Below are 27,257 nucleotides of genomic sequence, written 5' to 3' on the forward strand. Positions count from 1 at the left end.
GATTCAGGATCTGGTAAGGCAGATTCAGGGTCTCTTCATCTCACCTTCAGCTCCATAGATGGCATCTTATTGTGACATCATCACATAGCAGAGGGGGAAACACTGCACTCAGTGGTGAAAGGGGAGAACAGTATGTCCTCACATGATGGAACGTGGGAACACCATGTCCTTACATTATGGAAGCAGGCAACACTGCGTCCTCACATGGTGGAAGGGGCAATACTGTGTCCTCACATGATGGAAAGCAGGAACACCGTGTCCTCACATGGTGGAAGGGGAAATACTGTGTCCTCACATGATGGAAAGTGGGAACACTGTGTCCTCACATGGTGGAAGGGGCAATACTGTGTCCTCACATGGTGGAAGGGGCAATACTCTGTCATTACATAGTGGAAGCAGGGAACACTATGTCCTTACATAATGGAAGGAGAAACACCATGTCCTCATATGTTGGAAGTGGGGAACACCATGTCCTCATATGGAGAAAGGGGGTAAGACTATGTCCTCACATGGTGGAAGGGAGCAACACTGTGTCCTCACATGGTGAAAGGCAGGAACATCATGTCCTTATATGGTGGAAGGGGGAAACACAATGTCTTCACATGATCCAAGGCAGGAACACTGTGTCCTCACATGGTGGAAGTGGGGAACACTGTATTCTCACATGGTGGAAGGAGGAACACTGTGCCCTCACATGGTTGAAGTGACAGAAGGGCAAAAGGGGTGACACTGTCCTCAAGCCATTTTATGAGTACCAATCCCATTCTTGGGACCTAATTACCTCCTAAAACCCGGCTCTTCTTCATGCTTTTGCATTGGGGATTAAGTTCCAACATGAAACATCCAAACCATAGCAACGGTCTTCAGTGACCATTGTCATGAGGGGAAAAGATAGGAGCTTTGGAATCATCCAGTGTTGGATCTAAGGCTTTGCTCTGCCACCAACTAGTTTTGAATACTGTTGACCTATACCAACTATAGTAGGTTCTTATAACAATTAAAAGGAATATCAGAGTAAAATGTGTATTTATAATGTAATGTTTTCAACAGAAGAAAATATAAATAAAAATTTATTGGGTCCTTTGAATGCAGAGGAATTTTAAGTTTGATATCATTGGAAGAAATCATAAACAAGAAGAGTAAAACATTTAGTATTTTAAAATTAAAAATGTATTTAAAGAAGAATTAAAAAGAATAATATGTGCAAAGTGCCTGGGACAAAAACTGGTTCAAAACAGCCTCAAAAGCCTTGTTCCTCTTTTTTGTTTGTTTGGTTTGGTTTTTTGTTGCCTTTGGTGCAGTGGGAAGGTCAGTTAGTTGGGTGATCACATCTTATGCTGCCCCAGGGTTAATGTGCACTGATACCCAGTAATGTCCAGTCACCTGGGAAGCCAGTGAAGAGACTGGCACACCCTCGGCCTTCAGCTCAGCCTAAAGGGAAAGACGGCAGAAATGAAGCCCTGCTATGGATCCTCTCCCTCCTGCCTCACCCACCCACCATCCAGCAGGCACCTAGCACTATTTTCTAGTGCTCCATCTCTTAGCAGGGACTCTGTTCAGATCTTTGTTTTCTGTGGGTGGCAATGAGGAAATGAGCTCACCTGAGCCATGAGGGAAACTAAGAGGCCCAAGGGTCTAGGCCACCAGACATGCCACAGCAGCTCATGGTACTAGAGTTAGGTCATCTCTGCATAAAAGCTGGGACTCAAATAAGAAGCAGAGGCTGCAAGAAGCTGAGGACCCCTCAGGAGGAAAGAAACACCCACATACCATGATGGAAGAATGGCCAGGTTCGCAATAAGAGGTGGATGAGGGAGTAAGGAAGTCTCCAATTAGGACCTCAGGCCACGCATAGTCAAGGGAGGTCATTGTGTCCATCCCTGTTTCCAGGTAGAGCCACACCAGAGAGTTTGTCAGTAGCCCCTGTGCTGCATCTCCCTCTGCTGACCCCATGGGTTGGGAACAAGGTGGCCCAGACCATTTGCACCAATGGTCTCCTCAGCCCTATTACCCCACAGCCCCACATCCTCCTGAGAGAGCCCAGGTTAGTCCTGCAGGAAGACTCATGACCATCCCAGGACAAACTGTGGCAGGGACCGTACATAGTGTCCAAGGTGTTCAGAAAAGTCAGTTGTGGGAGAGATCATGTCTAAACCTTTAAGATCCAGAGAGCTCCATGGAACAAGCATCTTGGGAAGAGCTTTGAGAAGCACAGTAGTATTTCAACAGGCGGGAGTGAGGGTGAGGAACAGGGAGAAGGAACTTTCATGTCAGGCAGAGGGATGCAAGTGAGCAAAGAAGTGGATGACCTAGGGTTTGGGGCCAGCATGGCTACTGGGGTATTAAGGGTCAGAATAAGAAGAGGTTGGAGAGGGCTGAGTCAGACCTTCTCAACAGCTTCACCCATCAGAGCCCAAGTAGCCCTCATCAAGTGGGTGTGGAAGGATATCACACTTCTGTTCTTACAGCCAAGTGCCTTATACTAGGCCAAGGAAAGAGCTGAGGCTGTGTTCCTAAGACAGCCTCCAACTGTGGCCTCTTAGGGTCATTCTCTGAGACACTGAGGCTAGGAAGGTTTTGAGATGATAAAAATTTCTCTTTCCACTCTACAGGAAGTTGAGTTTGGATCCACAGGCTGAGGCTGAAGATTAAGTTCAGATTAGCACAGAAGAAAAGAAAGGTGGCTTTGGTTCAGTTGTATAATGTGCACTAGACACCCCCCTCCACCACCAACCTGCATGCACACACGCACTGCCTGATACCCGCAAGGGAGCCCTACACAAAATCTGCAAAGGAAGCCTCGGCGTGTTCCTTTGTGGGCTTCTACCCACCCACGATATCCTCCAACTCAGCATCCAGAAGCCAGGTCTATGTCCCTCCTCTGCAGCACAGTCAACACCTCTGCACAGTTCCCATGTCTGGGCTTGTGTCCTCAGAATTACACACACAAGTGACATGGCAGAGGTGGTGGGGATTTGCCACCTGTGCAATCAGACAGGGTCCCCTTGGGAAGGCTTCTGAAAGAGAGGGGTCAGGAGCAATGTCAATGACAAGGGAAGAATCTTTGCCCAAGTGTAAGTGCATCTTTGGGAGGTGTCACAGAATGCGAACAGGCCATGGGTACACTGTAGAACTGTAGCTATGAGATCAGAGTAACACAGACTAGGGGCAGCGGAAACTGAACCAGCACTGGGAAAGGCGGGGATCTGCAGGCTTCAGGCTCAGAGTACAGGTGTCCTGGGAGTGCCAGATCCTGTTGCTTCCTCCAATCGAATGATCTTAATGGCCTGGCCTGGACAATGATAATGAACCTCACTGTAGATAGGAGTGAGAGACTCCCTTTTTTCCAGATATTGTTCACCGATGCCCTGGAATACAAGACAGAGGGTTGTTGGATCAGCTGAGGGATAGAAACGATGTGGAGGGACCCACAGGGCCAATACCCACTGCCATGCACAGCTCATGAATTCCTCTAAAGTGCCCAGCACTACATCACACCCAGATGCAAATTTCTTAGTAAACGCTGTTGATTGTCCAGATACAGATAAACAGGCGGTGTGGTCAGAAATGGCAGGTCCTGGAATTAGAAGCCCAAGGCTGGACAGAGAGACCTGGGAGTTGCCAGAGTGGGCAGTGCCCCAGCCCTTACCTTGTCCTTGCCCTTCGGAAACACTTGCTGCCTGAGATCTTCATATTGGTTGACACCATCATCGACCCCATGGTTCTCCTGCAATTCTCTACCTGAGAAAATCAAAGCTTGAATCTGTGCCATAGAAACCTGTATCCCTCCCCACTGCCACGAACCCCAAGGCCAAGGTCACACCCACCATCCCTCTGCAGAGTCCACTCCCTGGAAGAAAAATTCAGGAGAAAGGAAGCTGGGGTTCTAGTGAGGGAGTGGAGGTGTCTGGGTATGGAAGGAGAAATTCAACTTGCCTCTTCCTATATTCATCATCTTCTTCTTCTTCTTCCCACATGTCTTCAAAAGATACAGCCCAGTTCCCAGGACCAACAGCATACCCACAACAGCCCCTAGGATGCCTGGGAGCAGTCTAACCATGTTGTGTGAACCTGTTTCTGTCACATGGGGAGAGTGGAAAATGTTAAGGCAGGAGGTAACTTGAGATACTCATTGCCAAGAGGAGACAGAGGGAGAAAGCAGGTGGAGCAGTGGGAAGGAGCCTGGTGCCAAAGCTGAAGAGGGAGGAGCATGGCAGATCCATTCATTCAACTGGTTAGGAGCTGCTGCTTGGTACCAGGGATGCTGAGATGCACAAGACAATGTCCACAGCAGCCCAGCACACAGGAAGGAAGACAGAAAATACCAACTTACAGACAGAGGGATCGCAGCTGCAATAGTGGTTTCCACCTTGTACAAGGTCTTCAGGGAGGACCTCCCAGAGGAGGTGCTGGCTAAAGTGAGGCTTAAGGGCGAGTGTGAGATTCTCAGATATTCAGGATGGGGGAATTCAAGGAAATAGGAGCACCAAGTTCGGGAAATGTTTGTGTCAAAACACCAGCCCTGGGAGTTGCCGGCACCCCACTGTAGCAGGAGAGAGACAGAGCAGGGAGGAGCTGTGGCAAGGGGAGTCAGACGGAGGCAAGAGTCTGTGCCCGGAGGGCCTTGTGGTCATGCTAAGTGCTGAACACTCCAGGATGGGGGTGAGGGAGGAGGTGGCAGGCAGTTTAAAGTGATGCTGACACATCAGATCCCCCAGCAGCTCCTGGAGGGAGGGTTGGAGAGGATGAGGCTGCACACAGGGTATCATTCATTCAGTGAATACTGCTTGTGAGCAAATGTTGCCAGGAGCTATGCTTGGCACAGGGATTCAAAGGAAAACATCAAGACATTGCAGTCTACAGGGCAGACAGTGACATAAACAGGTCATTGCTACTCAGTGTGAGGTGCCATGGACGGCTCCCTAAGGAGGTGGGGCCTGAGGGCAGGACCAGATACATCATTTTCAGGGCCCTGTGCAATGCAAATTTAAATTCCCTTGATTAAAAAGGATTAAAAACTTCAAGGAAGGAATAGCAGAGTTTTAACCAATTGTGGAATCCTGTGAAGTGTGGGACCCTGTGTGACTGCATCTGTCTTGTGCCCATAAAGCCTGTCATAGGTTAGAGGAATGCTTGGAAAGGAATGAAAGAGGAAGTATCAGTCACTGGGTGTGGGAGGGCTGATGGGGTAAGAAACAGCATGCTCAGAAGCTCAGAAGCTTACAGAAAGCAGGACATATTTTGGGAAATAAAAGAAAGGAGTTTGGTGTGAAGTGCACAGGTGAAGCCAGAAACATGGGCAAAGGAGCATCTGAGCCCCAAATTCCATGGGGGAGTAACTGGAGGCCAGATCACACAGAAGACACAGACAACAACCCAATTTGACCCACTTTTCCCAAAGCCCACTCTGGATGTTCAGTGGAGGATGGATGGGGTGAGACAGCTCCTGGAAGGCTGCTTTCCTAATCGGCAGGGACATGGTGGGGATGTGGCGAGGAGGGTATGGCTGAGAGAGATGATTAAAGGCAGAACGAAGGTGATGTGACTCCCACACTGCTGTGTGTGGTGAGCACGTGGAAGGTGGTGCTAATGCACATGGCAGAGAAGAGAGCCCAGAACCCTCAGACCCCAGTGCTACCTGAGCTTTGGCAGCCCCTCCTATCCTGCAGGCTACACTCGCCACTCACCTTGGACACAGAGTTTCCTAAGGTCTAAGACTGCAGCTTTCTGATCCACCTGGTTGCTGACCACACAGGTGAGGTGGGTGTTGCACTGGCACAGGGGCAGGTTCACAGCCAGTGTCCAGGGGTTGGGGGCTGGTCCTGGTGTTTCTCTCTGCTCCAGCTCTCTGAGGAGGCCCTTGCTCTCCCAAGTCACATTCAGGTCCTCTGTGGCCCCTGGAGCCCTACACTCCAGGGTGACGTTACACAGGTCTGGTGTGATAGACAGTGACTTTGCCAGGAACTCAGGGTGAGGCACAGGCTCTGGGGCAGAGGGGGACAAAAGAGGGGAATCTCACATGTGTGGAGAACATTGCACGTCTCACTTTTCATAATTTTCTCATTGCAGCCATGGCATGTGCCCTATAAAGAAAGTGGGTGTATTCTACAGATGAAACACAATTTGCCCAAAGCTAAATACTGAGCAAATGAAATAAGAAGGGAAGCCACTGAGTTCAGCTCCATGTGGGTTCTCTAGATTCAACATGTCTTAAAACTGTCCCAAAGAAAACAAAATCTGGACTCTACCTTCCCAGGATGCAGGGTTTTCAGAATATCAGGGTCTTTCCAAGAAGGGGAAGAAGTCTGGGGAAGAAAAGCTTGTGCTGGACCAGGGTCCCTCCCCTGTGTCTCCAGCTGAGGCCATGCCTGAGACTGCATAGCCCTTGTGGGGCAGGACATCAGGTCAGCTCTGGGAGGCCAGAGAAAGGCCCATGATCCCTAAAGGAGACACGTCTGTGGGAGATGCGGTGATAGTGACTGGGAACAATGACTCTGAGTGTGCTTAGAAAGTGCCACTGAACCTGTGTTGCAGACAGAAGAGAAGAATCAGATTCACAGGCCAGCCTGAGAAATCACACGGGACCTAAAGCTGCAAAAGCCACTCTCTCCATGGCAGGATATTTCCCTATGCAGAGAGGAACTTTAGGGAAAGAAAGAGTTTCTAAATGGGTTCCCTAAGAAGTGTTGTGGTGTAAACTTTCTCCTACACATATGGAGGCTTTGAGAGCTAGATTTGTGGCGGCTTGTGTGACTGAGGCCGGCTTTGGGCTGGGGCTGAGTGAGAGGAGAGGGGACTGGGAGGACTCCATTCACAGGGATTCCCAACTGTGGTAGGCAGAACAGTGGCCTCCAAAATGTCTAGGGCCAATCCTCGTAACCTGGGAATAGGTTAGGCTGCTAGAGAGGAGGAATTAAGGTTGACGGCATTAAGATGGAATTAAGGTGGCTAATCAGCTGACTTTAAAATACGGAGATGATTCTGAATTCCCAAACACTAACATCAGTGTTCTATTAGGAGATACAGGAAGATGGCCATGAGCCATGGGATGCCAGCAGCCACTAGCAGGTGGAAAAGGTGAAAAAACAAGTTCTCCCCTGGAGTCCCCATAAAGAACACAGCCCTGCCACCACCTTCATTTTAGCTCACGGACACTTGTGTCAGGCCTCTGGCCTGTAGCACAGTGAGATAATAAATTTATCTTGCTTTCAGCCAATAATTTTTGACAATTTGTTACATCAGCAATAAAAAATTACTATACAAATTGACATTAGTCATATATAGGACGATTAATGTTATTGAAAAAATTGCTGTTTTTCAGAATTTTTATTTCCTCTTCCAAAACACTGAAAGAGCTTCATTCCCTGGTGTGAATCTCAGCTCTGCTCTCTATGTCTGGGGACCTCACAAGCCTTATTTTTAGTGGAGAAAATGAAGTCTGAAGGTCGGTGTCTGAATGGAACCCTGCATGGGGCCTATGTGACATTCTAGGGACAAAAAAAGCAGGTAAGCCAGAGGATGGGGGAGGGAGGGGTGTCACTCACCATAGACAGTGAGGTAGAAAACCTGGAAAATCCCCTCTCCCTTAGTAGAGGTGATGTTGGCAAAGTACTGCCCACTGTCTTCAGGGGCCAGGTTCTCAATCCTCAGGGATGACATGCTGGGTACATGGACCCTCTGCTTGAACTTGTCCTGGAGTTTCAACCAGGTTGGAGAGTCGGCCCCACTGCGGACTCGCAGCAACTGTGTATGATCTGTCAGAGTGCCCAAAGCCCATAGAACCTCCTCCAACTCGGTGCCTACATCTACTCTGAGCTTCTCGATCGCATTAAACAAGATAGAACCTCCTCGGATGCCCTTCAGATGAATGGGGGCTCCAGAATCCTTCCCTGCAGAGCCATGTGCTCCAGAAGTGTTGGCTGCAGTTCTGCAGACACCTAGGGCATAGAAACAGGAAACATGAGTATTTCCTCATCAAGATCAAATGAGAGAACCACAGAACTTTGGTTCAGAGTCACAGAAATCCATCAAAAATCATCCCTTGATTCTGGGGGGGCTGCCTAGTACAATGGACTTGAAGCAATTTTAGCATCCACTCCTGGTTCTAGTGGAGTGTGATCTTGAACAGGTTCCTGAACCCCTCGATCTTCGGTTTTCTTACCTGCCCCATAATGAGAGTAAGGATCAAATGAGACCCTAGATCAAAAGCACCTAGCACATTTTCTGGCATATGCTAAGTGCATAACTGCAGGAGGCAGCTTCTAACATGGCTCCCAAGGATGCCTCCCCACTGTATGCACACCCCTGTGTAATGCCCTCCCCTGGAGTATGGGCTGCACTGATTACTTGCAAACGCGGCAAAAGTGATGGAGTGTCCCTTCTGTCTGTCTCACATCCTCTGTCTCCATCACTCTCTCCTGTTCAGGCTGATGAAGCCCGCTACCACATTGTGAGCTGCTCTGTGGAGAGGCCCACATGGCAGGGAGCTAAGGGCAGCCTCGACCAATACCTTCATTCCAGTCTCTGTGACCTTGAGCCACAGGACCCAGCTGAACGACACCTGGACCCTGACCTCCATAAACTGTGAGACAATGAACCACAGGAACCAGGTCCTGGGTTCTGACCTCCATAAACGGTGAGACCATGTCCCATATTGTGTTAAGGCCCTAAGTTCTAGGGTTACAGGTCACACAATACACAACTAAGGCAAAGATGAAGGTTGCTTTCCTTTGCCTTTCCTTCTAGGAAGGGAATTAGCCCAGATAGGATAGGGCAGGATAAGACAGGGCATGAATTATACAGGTTGTCCTGTGGCAACAGTTACAAAAGTCAGGGACTTAGAACAAAGGGAGTTTGTATATTACTCACATTACATGTCCCACAAGGGATAGTGAGAGAAGGGTCATGTCACTCGTGGGTGGGGGCTCCACACCTTGTAGCAGCTCCATATGGAACCCAGAGCCTCATCACATCCTCCTCCATCCCCACAGTAGAGAAGGAAGGAGATAAGAGAGGCACCCGTGGGGCATTCACTGCACCATCCAGAAGTGATGTAATCTCTACCCATATTTTCTGGACAGAACTAGTTAGGAGACCCTGCTAACTTCCAGGGGCTGAAAGTGTGGGGGAGCAGATGGACTGTTTGGTGGCATTCTGTCCCTGCCACCAAAAGAGCACTTCCCTATGCAGTGCCCCTGAGGACCCTGGTCAGTCTCCCTCAGTCACTGTCTCCCAAAGAGCCCTGACCAGTGGGGACAGCCGCCTCAGCTCCACCTCTTTCTGAGCCCTTCCTTGTCAATCAGGCACATCCACAATGAACCCAGAGACCTCTGTCCTTCCTGGGGACCAGGGTGGGACCAATCTGGACCAGGTCCATCTGGGTTTGTTGCTGTGTGGCAGGGCACCCAGTGCTCTCTCTAATGACTAAATTCCTCCCCATTTTCAGCCTGCACCGTTCTGCTGTCCTACACCCATTCCTGGTTCTCACTGAAAGCAAATAGCTCATGCCAATCCTTAGATGTGGAAGCATTTCAAATATTTATGTTTCCAGTTATACACTAACTCAGTTCACCAACCCCCTCCTCTGGGCCAGGCCTCACTCCCTCCTTTCAGCTCCCTCAAGGGACTAGGCCCCACCCCAGGCTCAGCACCCCTTAGCACCAGGACCACAGGCCTTCAGGATCCACATCAGTGAGTTAGTGGTTTTGTCAGTCCATTTTTGCATTGCTATAAAGAAATATCTAAGGCTAGATAGTTTATAAAGAAAACATGTCTAATTGGCTCACAGTTCTGCATGCTGTACAGGAAGTGTAGAGCCAGCATCTGCTCCTGGTGGGGGCCTCAGAAAGATCACAGTCATGGTGGAAGGCAAAGGGTAGCCAGCATATTACATGGTCAGAGCAAGGGCAAGAGAGATGGGGAGGAAGATGGCCGAGTAGGAACAGCTCTGTTCTGCAGCTCTCAGTGAGATCAATGCAGAAGGCGGGTGATTTCTGCATTTCCAACTGAGGTACCTGGCTCATCTCACTGCGAGTGGTTAGACAGTGGGTGTTGCCCATGGATGGTGAGCTGGAAGCACAAGGGGTTGGGGAACTCCCTCCCCTAACCAAGGAAAGCCGTGAAGGACCCTGCCATGAAGGACTGTGCTATCTGGCCCAAATACCACGCTTTTCCCACAGTCATCACAACCCGCACACCAGGAGATTCCCTCGGGTGCCTAAGCCACCAGGGTCCTGGATTTCAAGCACAAAACTGGGCAGCCATTTGGGTAGACACTGAGCTAGCTGCAGGAGTTTTTTTTTTCATACCCCAGTGGCACAGGTGAGACAGAACAGTTCACTCCCCTGAAAAGGGGGCTGAAGCCAGGGAGCCAAGTGGTCTAGCTCAGCGGATCCCAACCCCACGGAGTCCGGCAAGCTAAGATCCACTGACTTGAAATTCTCACTGCCAGCACAGCAGTCTGAAGTTGACCTGGGATGCTCAAGCTTGGTAGGGGGAGGGGCATCTGCCATTACTGAGGTTTGAGTAGGTGGTTTTCCCGTCACAGTGCAAACAAAGCTGTTGGGAAGTTTGAACTGGGCAGATCCCACTACAGCTTGGCAAAGCCGCAGTAGCCAGACTACCTCTCTAAATTCCTCCTCTCTGGGCAGGGCATCTCTGAAAGAAAGGCAGCAGCCCCAGTAAGGGGATTATAGATAAAACTCCCATTTCCCTGGGACAGAGCACCTGAAGGAAGGGGCAGCTGTGGGTCCAGCTTCAGCAGACTTAAAGGTTCCTGCCAGCAGGAACCTGTGGATCTACCCGTACAGTTCTTGAACTCTGCTGAGGGACAGACTGCCTCCCCAGGTGGGTCCCCCTGGGGGGGGTGACCCCCATTCTTCTTGACTGAGGGACACCTCCCAGCAGGGGTCGACAGACACCACATACAGGAGAGCTCCAGCTGGCATCTGGTGGGTGCCCTCTGGGAGGAAGTTTCCAGAGGAAGGAACAGGCAGCAATCTTCGCTGTTCTGCAGCCTCCGCTGGTGATACCCAGGCAAACAGGGTCTGGACTGGACCTCCAGCAAACCTGCAGCAGAGGGGCCTGACTGTTCGAAGGAAAACTAACAAACAGAAAGGAATAGCATCAACATCAACAAAATGGATGTCCACACAGAATCCCCATCCAAAGGTCACCAACATCAAAGCCCCAAGATAGATAAATCCATGAAGATGAGAAAAAACCAGAGCAAAAAGGCTGAAAATTCCAAAAACCAGAATGCCTCTTCTCCTCCAAAGGATCACAACTCCTTGCCAACAAGGGAACACAACTGGATGGAGAATGAATTTGACAAATTGACAGAAGTAGGCTTCAGAAGGTGGGTAATAATAAACTCCTCCAAGCTAAAGGAGCATGTACTATCCCAATGCAAGGAAGCTAAGAACATGGAGAAAAGGTTAGAGGAATTGCTAACTAGAAAAACCATTTATGGGAGAACATAAATGACTTGATAGAGCCGAAAAACAGCACAAGAACATCGTGAAGCATACACAAGTATCAATAGGTGAATTGATCAAGAGGAAAAAAGATATCAGAGTTTTAAGATCAACCTAATGAAATAAAGCATGAAGACAAGATTAGAGAAAAAAGAATGAAAAGGTATGAACAAAGCCTTCAAGTAATATGGGACTATATGAAAAGACCAAACCTATGTTTGACTGGTGTACCTGAAGGTGATGGGGAGAATGGAAACAAGTTGGAAAACACTCTTCAGGATATTATCCAGGAGAACTTCCCCATCTAGCAGCACAGGCCAACATTCAAATTCAGGAAATACAGAGAACAACACAAAGATACTCCCTGAGAAGAACAACTCCAAGACACATAATCGTCAGATCACCAAGGTTGAAATGAAGGAAAAAATGTTAAGGGCAGCCAGAGAGAAAGGTCGGGTTACCCACAAAGGGAAGCCCATCAGACTCACAGTGGATCTCTCTGCAGAAATCCTACAAGCCAGAAGAGAGTGGGGGCTAATATTCAACATGCTTAAAGAGAAGAATTTTCAACCCAGAATTGCATCTCCAACCAAACTAAGCTTTGTAAGCGATGGAGAAAAAAAATTCTTTAGAGACAAGCAAATGCTGAGAGATTTTGTCACCACCAGGCCTGCCTTACAAGAGCTCCTGAAGGAAGCACTAAATATGGAAAGGAAAAACCGGTATCAGCCACTGCAAAAACATACCAAATGGTAAAGACCATTGACACTATGAAGAAACTGCATCAACTAATGGGCAAAATAACCAGCTAGAATCCTAATGACAGAATAAAATTAACACATAACAAAATTAGCCTTAAATGTAAACAGGCTAAATGTCCCAATTAAAAGACACAGACTGGCCAATTGGATAAAGAGTCAAGACCTATCAGTGTTCTGTATTCAGGAGACCCATCTCATGTGCAAAGACATACATAGGCTCAGAATAAAGGGATGGAGGAATATTTACCAAGCAAATGGAAATAAAAAAAAAAAAGCCGGGGTTGCAATCCTAGTCTCTGATAAAACAGACTTTAAACCAACAAAGATCAAGAGACAAAGAAGGCCATTACATAATGGTAAAGGGATCAATGCCACAAGAAGAGCTAACTATACTAAATATATATGCGTCCAATACAAGAGCACCCAGATTCATAAAGCAAGTTCTTAGAGACCTACAAAGAGACTTAGACTCCCACAGAATAATAGTTGGAGACTTTATCACCCCATTGTCAGTATTAGACAGATCAACGAGATAGAAAATTAACAAGGATTTTCAGGATTTGAATTCAGCTCTGGACCAGGCGGACCTAATAGATGTCTACAAAACTCTCCACCCCAAATCAACAGAATATACATTTTTCTCAGCACCATATAGCACTTATTCTAAAATCGACCACATAATTGGAAGTAAAAAACTCCTCAGCAAATGCAAAAGAATGGAATTCAAAACAAACAGTCTCTCAGACCACAGTGAAATCAAATTAGAACTCAGGATTAAGAAACTCACTCAAAATTGCACAACTACATGGAAACCGAACAACCCGCTCTTGAATGACTACTAGGTAAATAATGAAATTCAGGCAGAAATAAATAAGTTCTTTGAAACCAATGAGAACAAAGACACAATGTACCAGAATCTCTGGGACACAGCTAGAGCAGTGTGTAGAGGGAAATTTATAGCACTAAATGCCCACAGGAGAAAGCAGGAAAGATCTAAATTCGACACCCTAACATCACAATTAAAAGAACTAGAGAAGCAAGAGCAAACAAATTCAAAAGCTGGCAGAAGACAAGAAATAACTAAGATCAGAGCAGAACTGAAGGAGATACAGACATGAAAAACCCTTGAAAGAAAATCAAGTAATCCAGGAGCCAGTTTTTTGAAAAGATAACAAAATAGATAGACTGCTAGCCAGACTAATAAAAAAGAAAAGAAAGAAGAATTAAAAAGATTTAAATAGACACAATAAAAAATGATAAAGGGGATATCACCATCAATCCCACAGAAATACAAACTACCATCAGAGAATACTATAATCACCTCTGCACAAATAAACTAGAAAATCTAGAAGAAATGAATAAATTCCTGGACACATGCACCCTCCCAAGACAAAACCAGAAAGAAGTTGAATCCCTGAATAGACCAATAACAAGTTCTGAAATTGAGGCAGTAATTAATAGCCTGCCAACCAAAAACAGCCCAGGACCAGACTGATTCAGAGATGAATTCTACCAGAGGTAAAGAGAGGAGCTGGTACCATTCCCTCCGAAACTATTCAAAACAATAGAAAAAGAGGGACTCATCCCTAACTCATTTTATGAGGCCAGCATCATCCTGATACTAAAACCTGGCAGAGACATAACAAAAAAAGAAAATTTCAGGCCAATATCCCTGATGAACATCAATGGGAAAATCCTCAAAAAAATACTGGCAAACCAAATCCAGCAACACATCAAAAAGCTTGTCCTTCATGATCTAGTGGGCTTCATCCCTGAGATGCAAGGCTGGTTCAACATATGCAAATCAATAAACGTAATCCATCACATAACAGAATCAATTTCAAAAACCACATGATTATCTTGATAGATGCAGAAAAGGCCTTCAATAAAATTCAACACCGCTTCATGCTAAAAATTCTCAGTAGACTACGTGTAGATGGAACGTATCTTAAAATAATAAGAGCTATTTATGACAAACCCCCAGCCAATATCATATAGAATGGGCCAAAACTGGAAGCATTCCCTTGGAAAGCCAGCAGAAGACAAAGATGCCCTTTTTCACCACTTCTATCCAACATACTGTTCAGAGTTCTGGCCAGGGCAATAAGCCAAGAGAAAGAAATAAAGGTTATTCGAATAGGAAGAGAGAATGTCAAATTGCCTCTGTTTACAGATTACATAATTGTATATTTAGAAAAGTCCATCATTTCAGCCCCAAATCTCCTTAAGCTGATAAGCAACTTCAGCAAAGTCTCAGGATACAAAATCAATGTGCAAAAATCACAAGCATTCCTATACACCAATAATAGACAAACAGAGAGCCAGATCATGAGTGAACTCCCATTCACAATTGCTACAAAGAGAATAAAATACCTAGGAATCCAATCCACGAGGGATGTGAAGGACCTCTTCAAGGAGAACTACAAATCACTGCTCAAGAAAATAAGAGAGGACACAAACAAATGGAAAAACATTCCATGCTCATGGATAGGAAGAATCAATATCGTGAAAATGGCCATACTGCCAAAAGTAATTTATAGATTCAATGCTATCCCCATCAAGCTACCATTGACACTCTTCACAGAATTAGAAAAAGCTACTTTAAATTTCATATGGAACCAAAAGAGAGCTCGTATAGCTAAGACAATCCTAAGCAAAGAGAATAAACCTGGAGGCATCACACCACCTGACTTCAACCTATACTACAAGGCTACCATAACCAAAACAGCATGGTACTTGTACCAAAACAGATATATAGACCAACGGAACAGAACAGAGGCCTCAGAAATAATGCCACACATCTACAACCATCTGATCTTTGACAAACCTAACAAAAACAAGCCATGAGGAAAGGATTTCCTATTTAATAAATGGTGCTGGGAAAACTGGCTAGCCATATACAGAAAACTGAAACTGGACCCCTTCCTTACACATTATAGAAAAATTAACTCAAGATGGATTAAAGACTTAAATGTAAGACCTAAATCATAAAAATCCTAGGAGAAAACCTAGCCAATACCATTCAGGACACAGGCATGGGCACAGACTTCATGACTAAAATACCAAAAGCAGTGGCAACAAAAGCCAAAATTGACAAATGGGATTTAATTAAACTAAAGAGCTTCTGCACAGCAAGAGAAACTATCATCACAGTGAACAGGCAACCTACAGAATGGAAAACATTTTTGCAATCTATCCATCTGACAAAGGGCTAATATCCAGAATCTACAAAGAACTTAAACAAATTTACAAGAAAAATATGAACAACCCCATAAAAAAGTGGGCAAAGGATAGGAACAGACACTTCTCAAAAGAAGACATTTTTGCAGCCCACAGACATAAATAAAAATTCATCATCACTGGTCATTACGGAAATGCAAATCAAAACCACAATGAGATACCATCTCATGCCAGTTAGAATGGGGATCATTAAAAAGTCAGGAAACAACAGATGCTGGAGAGGATGTGGAGATTTTGGAATGCTTTTACACTGTTGGTGGGAGTGTAAATTAGTTCAACCATTGTGGAAGACTGTGGCAATTCCTCAAGGATCTAGAAGAAGAAATATCATTTGACCCAGCAATCCCATTACTGGATATATATGCAAAGGATTATAAATCATTCTACTATAAAGACACATGCACATGTATGTTTATTGCAGCACTATTCACAACAGCAAAGACTTGGAAGCAACTCAAATGCCCATCAATGATAGACTGGATAAAGAAAATGTGGCACATATACACCATGGAATACTAGGCAGCTGTAAAAATGGATGAGTTCATGTCCTTTGCAGGGACAAGGATGAAACTGGAAACCATCATTCTCAGCAAACTAACACAAGTACAGAAAACCAAACACTCTGTGTACTCACTCTTAAGTGGGAGTTGAACAATGAGAGCACATGGACACAGGAAGGGTAACATCACACACCAGGGCCTGCTGGGGGGTGGGGTGCTAGAGGAGAGATATCATTAGGACAAATACCTAATGTAGATGACGGGTTGATGGGTGCAGCAAACCACTATGGCATGAGTATAACTATGTAACAACCCTGCATGTTCTGCACATGTATCCCAGAACTTAAAGGATATATATATGTGTGTGTATATATATATATATGTATATATATACACATATATATGTATATATACACACATATATATGTATATATATGTATATATATACACATATATATATGAACAAATTGAAATTCTAACAAAAGACACATACATGTATATGTTCATTGCGACATTATTCACAATAGCAAAGATGTGGAATCAATCTAAATGCCTATCAATGGTAGACTGGATAAAGAAAATATGGTACATATACACCATAGAATACTATGCATCCATAAAAAAGAATGAGATCGTGTCTTTTGCAGGAAAGGGGGTGCAGCTGGAGACCATCATCCTTAGCAAACTAATGCAGGAACAGAAAGATAAATACCGTATGTTCTCACATGTAAGTGGGAGCTAAATGATGAGAACACATGGACACAAAGTAGGAAACAACAGACACTGGGGCCTACTTGAGTGTAAAGGGTGGGAGGAGGGAAAGGATCCGAAAAAAAATAACTATTGGGTGGTAGGCTTAGTACCTGAGTGAAGAAATAATCTGTACAACAACCCCCCATGATATGAGTTTAACTATATAACAAACTTGCACGTGTATCCCTGCAGCTAAAATAAAAGTCAACAAAAAGAAAAAAAAAAAAGAGAGATGAGGAGGTGCCACACACTTTTAAACAACCAGATCTCACGGGAACTAACTGAGCAAGTCCCCACCTAGCACCGAGGGAATGGTGCTAAACCATTAATGAGGGACCTGACCCCATGATCCAATCACCTCCCACCAGATTCTCCCTTCATCCCCAGTGGGAATCACATTTCCACATGAGATTTGGAGGGGACCAACATCCAAATCATATCAGTGGGCCAGTGCCCTGTCCGGTTCTGCCTAGGGTCATACAGGAGAGGCAGCAAGTGAGCAGCCACCAGCCTCCTCCTATCACCTCCAGTTCCTCCACGATTCCTCCTCCCACATCTCACACTCCTCTGACACCCGGTTCAAGAGGGGGCTTATGCGCTCCCACAGAACATCCTGGGGTGCAGCACAGACACCTGACTTGGCCCACAAAATATTGCTGAGGAGAGCCAGATGAGGCTGTGCTGCCAGAGCCCTCTAAACAAGCCAGGGCACAAAGGCTGGTCCTGAGACATGGTGGCTATTTGTCAGTAGCAGAAAGGGTAGAAGTGCATTCTGTCCTCCAAGCTCCAACCCCTGCCTTTATGCACCCACAGGATCCTGAGTATTTCAGGTTTCCTGGAGTCTCAATGGGGAGGAGTCCAATCTAGTCTGTCCTGGAGTAATGTGCTGGCTGGGGTATGGATACCAGTGATACCCTGTGAGTATAGGCTGCTCCTGGTGGATCTTGTCACTTGGACAGAAGCCAAATACATTTCCACTTTTCCAATTGCAGTGAGTGCTAGGACTCTCCTGTGATTGGCAGTTGCACCTCCTCTGAACCAGGCTCCCTGTTCACAAATCCACACTAAGTGAGGGTGACTGTAAACCAAAGTGGCCTAGCCCATCCAAGTTAAAGCCATTCACAGGGCTCAAGACTGTCCCAAGGAGAGGGGGTATGATAGAGAGACTGGGGTGAGACCGCCAAGGTTTGGGGTGGCCATTGCCACTGAGGGAGAAGGAAAGGAAAAATGATTGGAGAAAAAATTCACACTGCAGAAGCAGCCTGCCTGAAAAGTCACAGCAACAGGCAAAAATAAAACAACCTGGGAGCGGGAAGGGAAAAAAACTCAAGCTGCACCTGGACAGATAAACAAACAGAGCCCAGCACAGAAACTTTTTGTTCTTTGTCTATTAGCAAGCTCCTAGAAAAAAGTTTCTTTCCCTTTTCAGGCATAGTCATGGTGGGAACTTGCACAGGGAGAAGGGGGGCTTACCTAAAACAAACCCACAATCATATAAACAAGAGAAGTGGTACTTTGGGCTTGCCCAGAGACATACCCACAACTACATAGAAAAGGGGGAGTTGTGCAGACAGCCCTACCGATAGAAGAAGTTACTTAAATTGCTGCAGAGACAAGAGGAGTTTCTTGTAAAAAGCTTTTGAATTCAGCGATATAACCCAGCAATCCACTCAGACTCCCCTTTCTGCTGCGGAGAATATTTTTTCTTTCACTTATTAAACTTTTGCTCCAACCTCGCCTTTGTGCCTATGTTTCTTAATTTTCTTGGAGGTAGGACAAAACACCCAGGGTACTAGTTCAGACCACGGGAAACTTCTACATTAAGGTGCATCGGTGAGACTGCAACACCACTGGACCCTGAACCCCAATTATAGATGTAGATGCACCTCTGTGGCCAGGTGCAGGCAGAGTGCCACAGGACAGGCAGGTGAGCTGAACTCCCTCAGGACCTTCATTAAATCTCCCTTGGGTAGGAAGATGACCATCCAAGGATCAAATATTTCTGAAGGGGGGTGTTGGTCATGGTGTTGAAGCTTCCTGGAAAAGGCCATCTGGCCACCTATGTCCCAAGGTCTTCCCCAGATAGTGGGAAGCAGCCCAAAGAGGTCAAAGATGCAGGAACTGTGGGAGAGAGCCACTTTCAACTCACACACACGGCCTCTTCCCAGGGCAGCCACCTCACAGACCCAGAACCTCGGGCCACCTGCCCTCCCCGACAATGAGCTCCCACACTGCACCCAACATATATACAGTGACATCCCCACTCCCATACTCGCCACAGGAGGGCACTTTTAAGTGTCTTAAAATCCTAAAGTTCTAGTTCCTTATTCTTTCCCCCCCAAATGTGACCTGCTCATACTATACTTTCATAACCAAAGGAGAATACTTGAAATTTTTTGGAATACCTCTTTCAAGGTGCAGACACACCTTTCAATATTTATAAACAAGAAGAAATACAAATTTAGTCTCCAGGCGGGCACCCCAGGATACATGGAAGGTGATGCTGCAGATATATTTATTAGACTCTAGTGTCCCCCAGTCAGGAGGGCTTGTTTTTGAGGGAGAGGTGGGGCATGGGTTGAATTGTGTCCCCCATAAAGGATATGTTGAATTCCTAAACCCAGCACCTCAGAAGGCAACTTTATTTGGAAATCTGATCTTTGCAGATATAGTCCAATTATGATAAGGTCATGAGGGTGGTCTCTAATCCGATATGACAGGTGTTCTTATAAAAAGAGGGAATTTAGACACAGACACTGACATGCACAGAGGTAAGACAATGAAAAGAGACATAGGGAGAAGGTGCATGAAGATGGAGGGTTTGACTGATGCAGCTACAAGACAAGGAACACCACCAATTGTCAGCAAACACCAGAAGCTAAGAAGGGGCAAGGACAGGTTTCCCTTGTTATGGAATGAATATTTATGTATCCCCAAATTCATATGTTGAAGCCTTGACAGCCAGTGTGACTGTATTTGGAGATGAGGCCTCTAATGAAGTAAGGTTTAATGAGTTCATAAGGGTGGGACCATGACCCAATAGTGTTAGTGTTCTTATAAAAAGAGACTTCAAAAAGCACGAGAGTTTTCTCTATGCACGTATTCTGAGAAAGGCCATGTGAGGACATAGAAGACAGCCTTCTGCAAAACCGGAAGAGAGGCCTCACCAGAAATTTAATTGGCCACAGCCTTGATCATGAATTTCCAGCCTCTAGAACTGGGAGAAAATAACTTTCTGTTGTTTAAGCCATCCAGTTTATGGTATTTCGTTATGGTATCCATAGCTGACCAATATACCCCTGCAGATTTCAAAGGTAGTGTGGCCTTGTCAACACCTTGATTTTGGGCTTCTAGTCTCCAGAACTGTGTGACAATAAATTTCCATTGTTTCAGCCACTCGGTTCTTGTTATCTCACAGTCCTAGGAATCTAATGCAGGAACTCAGGAAAGGTGGTAATATAGTTTAACTCTTTGTCCCCTCTAAATCACATGTTGAAATTAGATCCCCAGTGTTGGAGGTGGGCCCTGGTGGCCTTCCTTGTGTCTTGGTGCCATCCTTGTGGTAGTGAGTGAGTTCTTGCTCTGTTAGTTCCTGTGAGAACTGAATGTGAAAAACAAGCTGACAGCTCCCTCACTTCTCTCTTGCTCCCTCTCTTGCCATGTGATGTCTGCTGCATTTCACCTTCTGCCATAAGTGAAAGCTTTCTGAGGCCCTCACCAGAAGCACATGCTGATGCCATGCTTCTTGCACAGCCTGAAGAAGCATGAATCAAATAAACCTCTTCTCTTCATAAACTACCCAGCCTCAGGTATTCATTTATAGCCACACAGATGGACAAAGACGGTGGCACCAAAGGATTACAGGTTAACTCTTTCAGGGGTTCCTGGAGAGTCAGGGCTGGGCCCTTGGCCAGCAAGTCACATGAGGCACAAGCTCTGGAGTGGGACAATTTGGGTTCAATCCCAGATCCACCATATTTACTGGCTGAGTGATCTTTACCAAGTTGCTAATCTAAGTCTTGAGTTCCCACATATGAACAATAGAGATAATAATTGTAAGTACTCATGGGCTCCTACAAGCACTAAAAATATGATACATTTTTAAAAAGCACTCAACTGTACAGTTGAGTTGTTATAATTGTTACCAGTATTAGGGCCCACCTGCCATGGAATTGCCACAGTACTGTAGCTGGATTTCTCCCAGTGTTTCCCTGTCGGGGAAAGAGGTTGCCCATACCCCATGAACTTGATTCCCAGTTTCTACCTCTCATCGGTTTCTTCAGATACTGAACATCTGATGATTCTCAGGACAACCCTTCAAGGTGGGAGGTTACAGATTATTATCCCCATGCAAAGGCTGGGGAGGTTGCATTTCAGTAACACTAAGAGGCTTTTTAATTTTTTTATTTTAATCAGATTATATATTCATATGGTGCTTTAAAAGGAGGGAGAAATTAAGGAGATTGAAAAAGGAAGTGTCACTCCTGTCTCTGACTCCCATTGCCTGGTTCTGGCTTCCAGAGGCAGGCACTATTATCAGTGTCTTGTGTTACTATGCAGAGATAGTCTATGCACTCAAACACACACATGTGCATCTCCACATACACAACACACTCTATGCGACTGTCCTGCTCTTTGTCTTTTCTCAAAGCAACATTTGTTGGAGCCCACTCTGCATCTGTACACATGGGTGTGTCCCATCTCCTGTCTGCAAACTGTTCCTTGTGGGGCTCTAATCCTCCTCCGCTTCTGATATTTAAGTTGTTGCTTAACACCACAAAGTTGCAATGAATATCCTTATATTTGTGCCTTTACACACATGGATGTGTATATAACAGTGAAAATCATTAGGGTGGATCTAATGAGTCAAAGGCACATGTACTTATACTTTTGATTGATATTATTGTCTCCAAAGAGTGTTCCTATCTACAAGCCTACCAAATATTTAGGTCTGTCACCAATACCTAATGATCAAACTTTTTGAACTCTGTCAAGTTGATAGTGGAAAATATCTCATTATCGTTTTAATGGGCATTTCTTCTATAAACAAGATTCATCATCATCATTTTACATTACTATGTCATTCTTGCTGCCTTTTCTGTGAACTATGAACTGTCTGCTAATGTCTTTTGTCCATCTATACTTGTTTCTTTTCTATTAGTTTATACGAGTTAGACATATTTTAAGAACATTCGCCTTTATTCTAACATACTACAATTTTTAAGTTTGTTTTTCAACTTTACTTACAGACTGTTTGCAATGCCAAAATGTTATTTTCATAAAGTAAAATGTATCCATTTTTATGGCTTACTCTTTTTGTATCTTCCTTCAAAAGGTAACCCCCAATTCAAACAAAGAGGTTTTAATTAAAACCTTTAATTAAAAGGTACCCCCAATTCAAAGAGAGAGTTTTAAATTCTCTCTTGTTTTAAATGCATTTATGGCTTTAAATTTTATATTTACTCTTAGATCCACCCAAAACTTATTTTGGAGTCAGGTGATACAGATGACTGGTGTCACAAAGTGGTGAAAAGATTGAACTTTAGAGTCCATGAAACTTAAGTCCTGATCCTTCATTTTCTGGCTGTGTAAACTTGAACAGTTATTTAACCTCTCTGGCTTTAGCAGTCTCATATGTGATATGAAGAAAAATGAAAATGCTTACCTCATTGGACTCTTCTTTGGGTTTAAATAGAAAAAATTTTTCAGCACAGTATTCAGTAGTTGTCCTATTAATATTAGCTGCTCCCATTATCATGATGAGTATTAGTTGCCCAAGCCCACCTGGAATCAGAACCAGGTGTTCCCAGCTTCCAGGCTGCTATCCTTTCCTCCCCAGCAGCCGCCCCTCTCAGGGGTCCCCTCCTGGGTACAGGGATGGGTTCTAGGGATTTAAACATATCTGAGTTCAATGCCATAAGTGGCTGCAGGGTGTCAAGGTCTAGCCAGGGCCTACTTGGTTACCAGAGCCCTGAGTTTAAAAGGAAGTTCATTGCTCTATGTCCACACATTGTCATCATCAATTACCATGTTACTGAAAAGCTGAGAACATCTTTATAGCAAGGAAAGTGGTAAAGATGTGTTCCCACCCAAATCTCATGTAAAAATATAATCTCCAAAGTCGGAGGAGGGGTCTGGTGTGAGGTGATTGGATCATGGGGATGGATTTCTCATTGCTATTCCCATGATAGTGAGTGAATTCTGACAAGATATAGGTTTTTAAGAGTGTGTAGCACTGCCCCTGCTCTCTCCTCCTTCTCCTGCCATGTAGGACGTGCCTCCTTCCCCTTCACCTTCTGGCATGATTGTAACAGCCATACCTCCTATACAACATGCAGAACTGAAAGTCAATTCAACCTTTTTTCTTTATAAATTACCCAGTATCAGGTAGTTCTTTATAGCAATGAGAGAATGGACTAATGTCCTTCAGCAGGTGGTCTAAGGGCATTGGCCCCTGAGACCCCTCTCAGGAGCAGAGGCGGAGAAGCAGAGGGTCAGGTAGAGGAGGCTGAGAGAGGAAAAGTCCCTTCCTCCCTCAAGAGCTGAGGAAGTGGCCACAGGGACACCCAGAGTTTTCTCTCTGAAGGAGCCCAAAACAGGCTCACCAGCTCTCAGTGCCTATAAAGCCACAGGATAGGACAAGAGAGGATGGGAGAGACAAAGTAGAGGCCTTGATGAAGCCACAGTATCCCAGAACCTCACTGCTGGGAGGGGACTCAGGGGTGATTCTGCCCAAGTCCCTGCTTTAACAGAGGAGGGAGCTCTCTAGGGGGTAGACTTTTCCTGGGTCACACAGGGCAGAGCCACACCTGGAGCCCACTTTCCTCCCCCAGCCCAGGGCCTCCCCTGCAGGACGCTGCCCAAGAGCTCTTCCACCCTCCCCTGCCCTCCCCAGAGCTGAGCTACACTGTTGTCTGAACCCACCAGGACCTGAGCAGCTGCTGAGGTCTCCACCCCAGCTGCCCTTTCCTGAAAAAGGAAGCAGGTACTTTCAGTGGCTTAGCAGAGCAGGGACTTCTGGCTAGCAGAGGGCTAAATAGGCAGCCTGGAAAGACCCCATTTCCTGGATGAGGGAACTGGGAAGAGAGGAGGCTCAGCCCTCAGGCTGCCAGGGAGGATCTGCCCCAGAAAGTGGATGATGAGCATAGCCAGGAGGAAGACGAAGACTCAGAGAGGGAAGGAAGGCAGCAGGAGCTCTTTGATCTGCAGAGATGCTGATCCTGAAGAAGAAAAAACAAGCCAGGGAGCAGGTGGTCATTTACAAGGTGGAGCTAAACATTAATTCAATTTGTATAAAATTTAAGGCCCTGTAAACAACATAAAATGTTGCTCAGTTGTCTGACATAGCCCCCATCAGCACACTCACAAACCAACGATTCATGTTTGATGTCCAAACTGCACTTCTTGGTACCATCTCCATTGTCTCATGTCTCTGTCTGGAGCCCCTAATGCAGAGATGCTTTCTCCTCCAGCTCCCTGCTGGCAGACACGGGGTGGGCATTCAGTAAGTGCTGTTATTATTATGGTCAGGGAGTAGCCAGAAGTCTAGGACCACCCTCATGTGTAGCTTACTGTGTCTCTAGGAAATTATATGTGAGCTGAGCCACCCTCAGTCTCCCTCCTTCCCTTCCACACTTTCCTATCCAAACACATGTCCAGAAAGGGTGTAAGAGTTTAAGAATGATGAGGGGCAAATTCCTCATTTCCACCTTCACCATCACTACTTCACCATCCATCTCTCTCCCTGGGTCAAGGGTGAACTGGAACAGGGACAATGCAGAAACCACAGAAAAAAAATGCATCCAACTGTGGAGCTTCAGGATTCCTCAGAGGATCCAGAGCAATTTCATGGTAATGTTCCTTCCACGGACAGCCTCTGACCAAACTCCACTGCCTGGGGGCTTGTCTCATTCATACCACAGAGGTCAGGCCTAATTGGACAACCAATTTCAATTTCATTCCTTCACAGTGGTTCCCTGAGATAATCACTTTCTTTTTGTGAACACAGATCTCCTTCCCCCAAAATGAGAAATTCTAAGTCCTTCCTTCCTTCTTTTTTCTTTTTTCTTTTCCTTTCTTTCTTTTTCTTTCTCTCTCTCTTTCTTTCTTCTTTCTTCTCTCTAACTCTTCTTCCTTCCTTGCTTCCTTCCTTCCCCTTCCCTCCCTCCCTCTTCCCTCTCTCCCTTTTCTTTCTTTCTCTCTCTCCTTTCTTTCTTTCTTTCTTTCTTTCTTTCTTTCTTTCTTTCTTTCTTTCTTTCTTTCTTTCCTTCCCTCTTCCTTCCTTCCCTCCCTCCCTCTCTTTCTTTCTTTCTCTCTTCCTTTCTTCCTTCCTTCCTTCTCTTTCTTTCTTTCTTTTTCTCTTTATTTTTTTTCTCTCTCTCTTTCTTTCTTTCTTTCTCTTTCTCCTTTCTCCTTCCTCCTTCCTTCCTTCCCTCCCTCCCACCTTCCTTTCTTCCTTCCTTCCTTCCTTCCTTCCTTCCTTCCTTCCTTTCTTTCTTTCTTTCTTTCTTTCTTTCTTTCTCTCTCTCTCTCTCTTTCTTTCTTTAGTAATCCTCCAAATCTAGTGCCTAGTGGAGAAAACTCTACCCAGTTAGACATATTTCCAGGTAAAGAGCATCGTATAAGCAGAGAAAGCCTGCGTTTTGCTGTTGATAGAAAGGAGATCTAACCCCTTTCTATTGCAAAGCTCATTGTTCCTTCAAGACCTCCTGTGTTACAAGTGCTCTGTAATCCATTAGATTTCATATAATTCCCTGTAAGTCCGATTAGTGGCTGGGATATAAAAGCAAAAAATTATAACAAGAACAGCTTTCATCAAAATGCACTAAATCTTATTATTTTCTCATTTTAAAATTTAATTTTATTACACTTACAACCATATAATCGTTCATAAAATAATGATTGTGATATACAGCCTAGATTAGGACAGTCTTTTTTGCAGTTCACTTTTTGCTTAACTTTCTGTATTCTCTACTTTCTCCCTCTCTCTGTGTTTTCTTCCTCAATTTTATGTCCTCTCGTAGCCCATGTTGGCAATCTACTGATTCCTTCCACATTTTTAGCATAGTCTTAGAAACATTTAGATGCTTAAATTTTGGTGACTGTGTTTCCTTTTATGAAGCGAGATTGTATTGTATTCAGTTTCCTGAGTCTTGCTGATGGGAATCTATGCATCTTAATTCATGGAAGTTGAACAGTCCTTCCAGATAACTAGAACATTTGTTTTTGTAACCTCCATAATATGCAATGGTACAGACACTCTTTGACTTGTTCACATGTTCCTGAATTGATGGGCTCCTCCTGTTTCTTTCTAGGGTTTTTCCTAGAACCGTGCTGTAATAAACATGGTCTGAGCAGCATTTCCCAGTGGAGGAAAAGGCACCTCACAGGGATGTGAAGGGTGCCCACTATATACACATTTTACCCAAAGGTAAGTTCTTTTTAATTTTTAAAATGAACAGTAATGCAAATTACAAACACGACTTTAAGATTGAGACGTTCAAGGTCCCTCTCTTTTGTGATGATTTGCTTGGAGAGCAGCCCTAGGCCCATGCAGTGGGTGACGATTCTCTCAGTGCAGCGAAGGTAGCCCTGGCTCGGGGTTCCCAGCCTTCTCACTACCAAAAAATGTTTCATTCTTTCCATCTTGGGACTCCAACCAAATATGTTGCATTCGTAAATCATAACAGAGTGTTTTTCTGTGTTGTTGCCCAAAGACATCAGAAGTTGAACAGCCCACCCGTTGGTCAGAGCCCAGCTAGCCCAGCCCTCTCCAATTGCCCTCCCTTCCCAGGGACCCTGCCACTCACTGAGGAGGAGGCTGATGAATACCAGGAGCCCAGTCATCCAGAAGAAGGACCGGTTCTTGGAGCAGGACCCCATGGCAGGTTGCCTGCTGGCCTGTTCAGCTGCAGCGGAAACAGAAGAGAGGAAGAGGTAAGAAAAGAGGACGAGCTTGATCAAGGAGCCCTTCACAGTTTCCCCACTTCAAGGGCAGGGCCAGCAAGTTACTACTGGGGAGACAGCCCACGAGTCGAGAGAAAACCATTCAGCTCTTTCCTCCCCTCCCAGTCCCCACAGTACCACACATAGTCAATAAGTAATTGCAGAAGAAATAAAGGCATAACCTCATTCTGTGATGTTCCTGGCAGTGTATTAGACAGGCCCCCTTCTCTCGGGCACAGCCAGCTTGGTGTTCCCTCCCACACCCTCTCCTGACACTCACCTGCTTCTCTGGGTTCACAGCTCTGCCCCAGGTGGCCGTGGTCACCAGTGTCAGCCTATGGTCAGGCACAGAAGTCACCCTCTTACAGCAAGGCTGGGCTATGCCCTTCCTGAACTTGATGACTTTACTTTGTCCCTACCTCACATAATAAGTTAAATTTCTGTTTTGATTTTTCAAAAACTTCAATTCTCAGTTGCCTAAGTAAGAAGCTGTAAGCAAAAGAACAGATCTCCTGTGGAGAGTGTTAACTCCCCACATCTCCAATGCAAATATCAGCATTTACTTGTTGCAGGCGGCTGTGTGG

The 27,257-nt window shown here is 45.4% G+C and overlaps 1 long non-coding RNA gene across 1 annotated transcript, besides 1 other annotated feature; it reads right to left on the reverse strand.

Moving 5' to 3' along the window:
• Positions 1–1,212: 1,212 nt before the first annotated feature.
• On the reverse strand, positions 1,213–27,257 carry LOC101928202 (SLAM family member 5). Its single transcript, XR_001738254.2, has 6 exons — positions 26,954–27,257; positions 26,538–26,636; positions 7,545–7,937; positions 5,688–5,984; positions 3,650–4,077; positions 1,213–3,368 (listed from the first exon to the last, which is right to left on the reverse strand). It is a non-coding gene; the product is annotated as an SLAM family member 5 (long non-coding RNA).
• Positions 25,728–26,927: an enhancer, noted in NCBI's record as "BRD4-independent group 4 enhancer chr1:157279563-157280762 (GRCh37/hg19 assembly coordinates)". NCBI's record gives its function as "activates an origin of replication core promoter dependent on BRD2, P300/CBP, MED14 and CDK7 cofactors, and independent of BRD4, by STARR-seq in HCT116 cells {active_cell/tissue: HCT116}" and the evidence as "EXISTENCE:reporter gene assay evidence [ECO:0000049][PMID:35650434]".

This window comes from Homo sapiens, chromosome 1 (genome assembly GCF_000001405.40).
Source record: "Homo sapiens chromosome 1, GRCh38.p14 Primary Assembly".
NCBI lineage: Eukaryota > Metazoa > Chordata > Mammalia > Primates > Hominidae > Homo > Homo sapiens.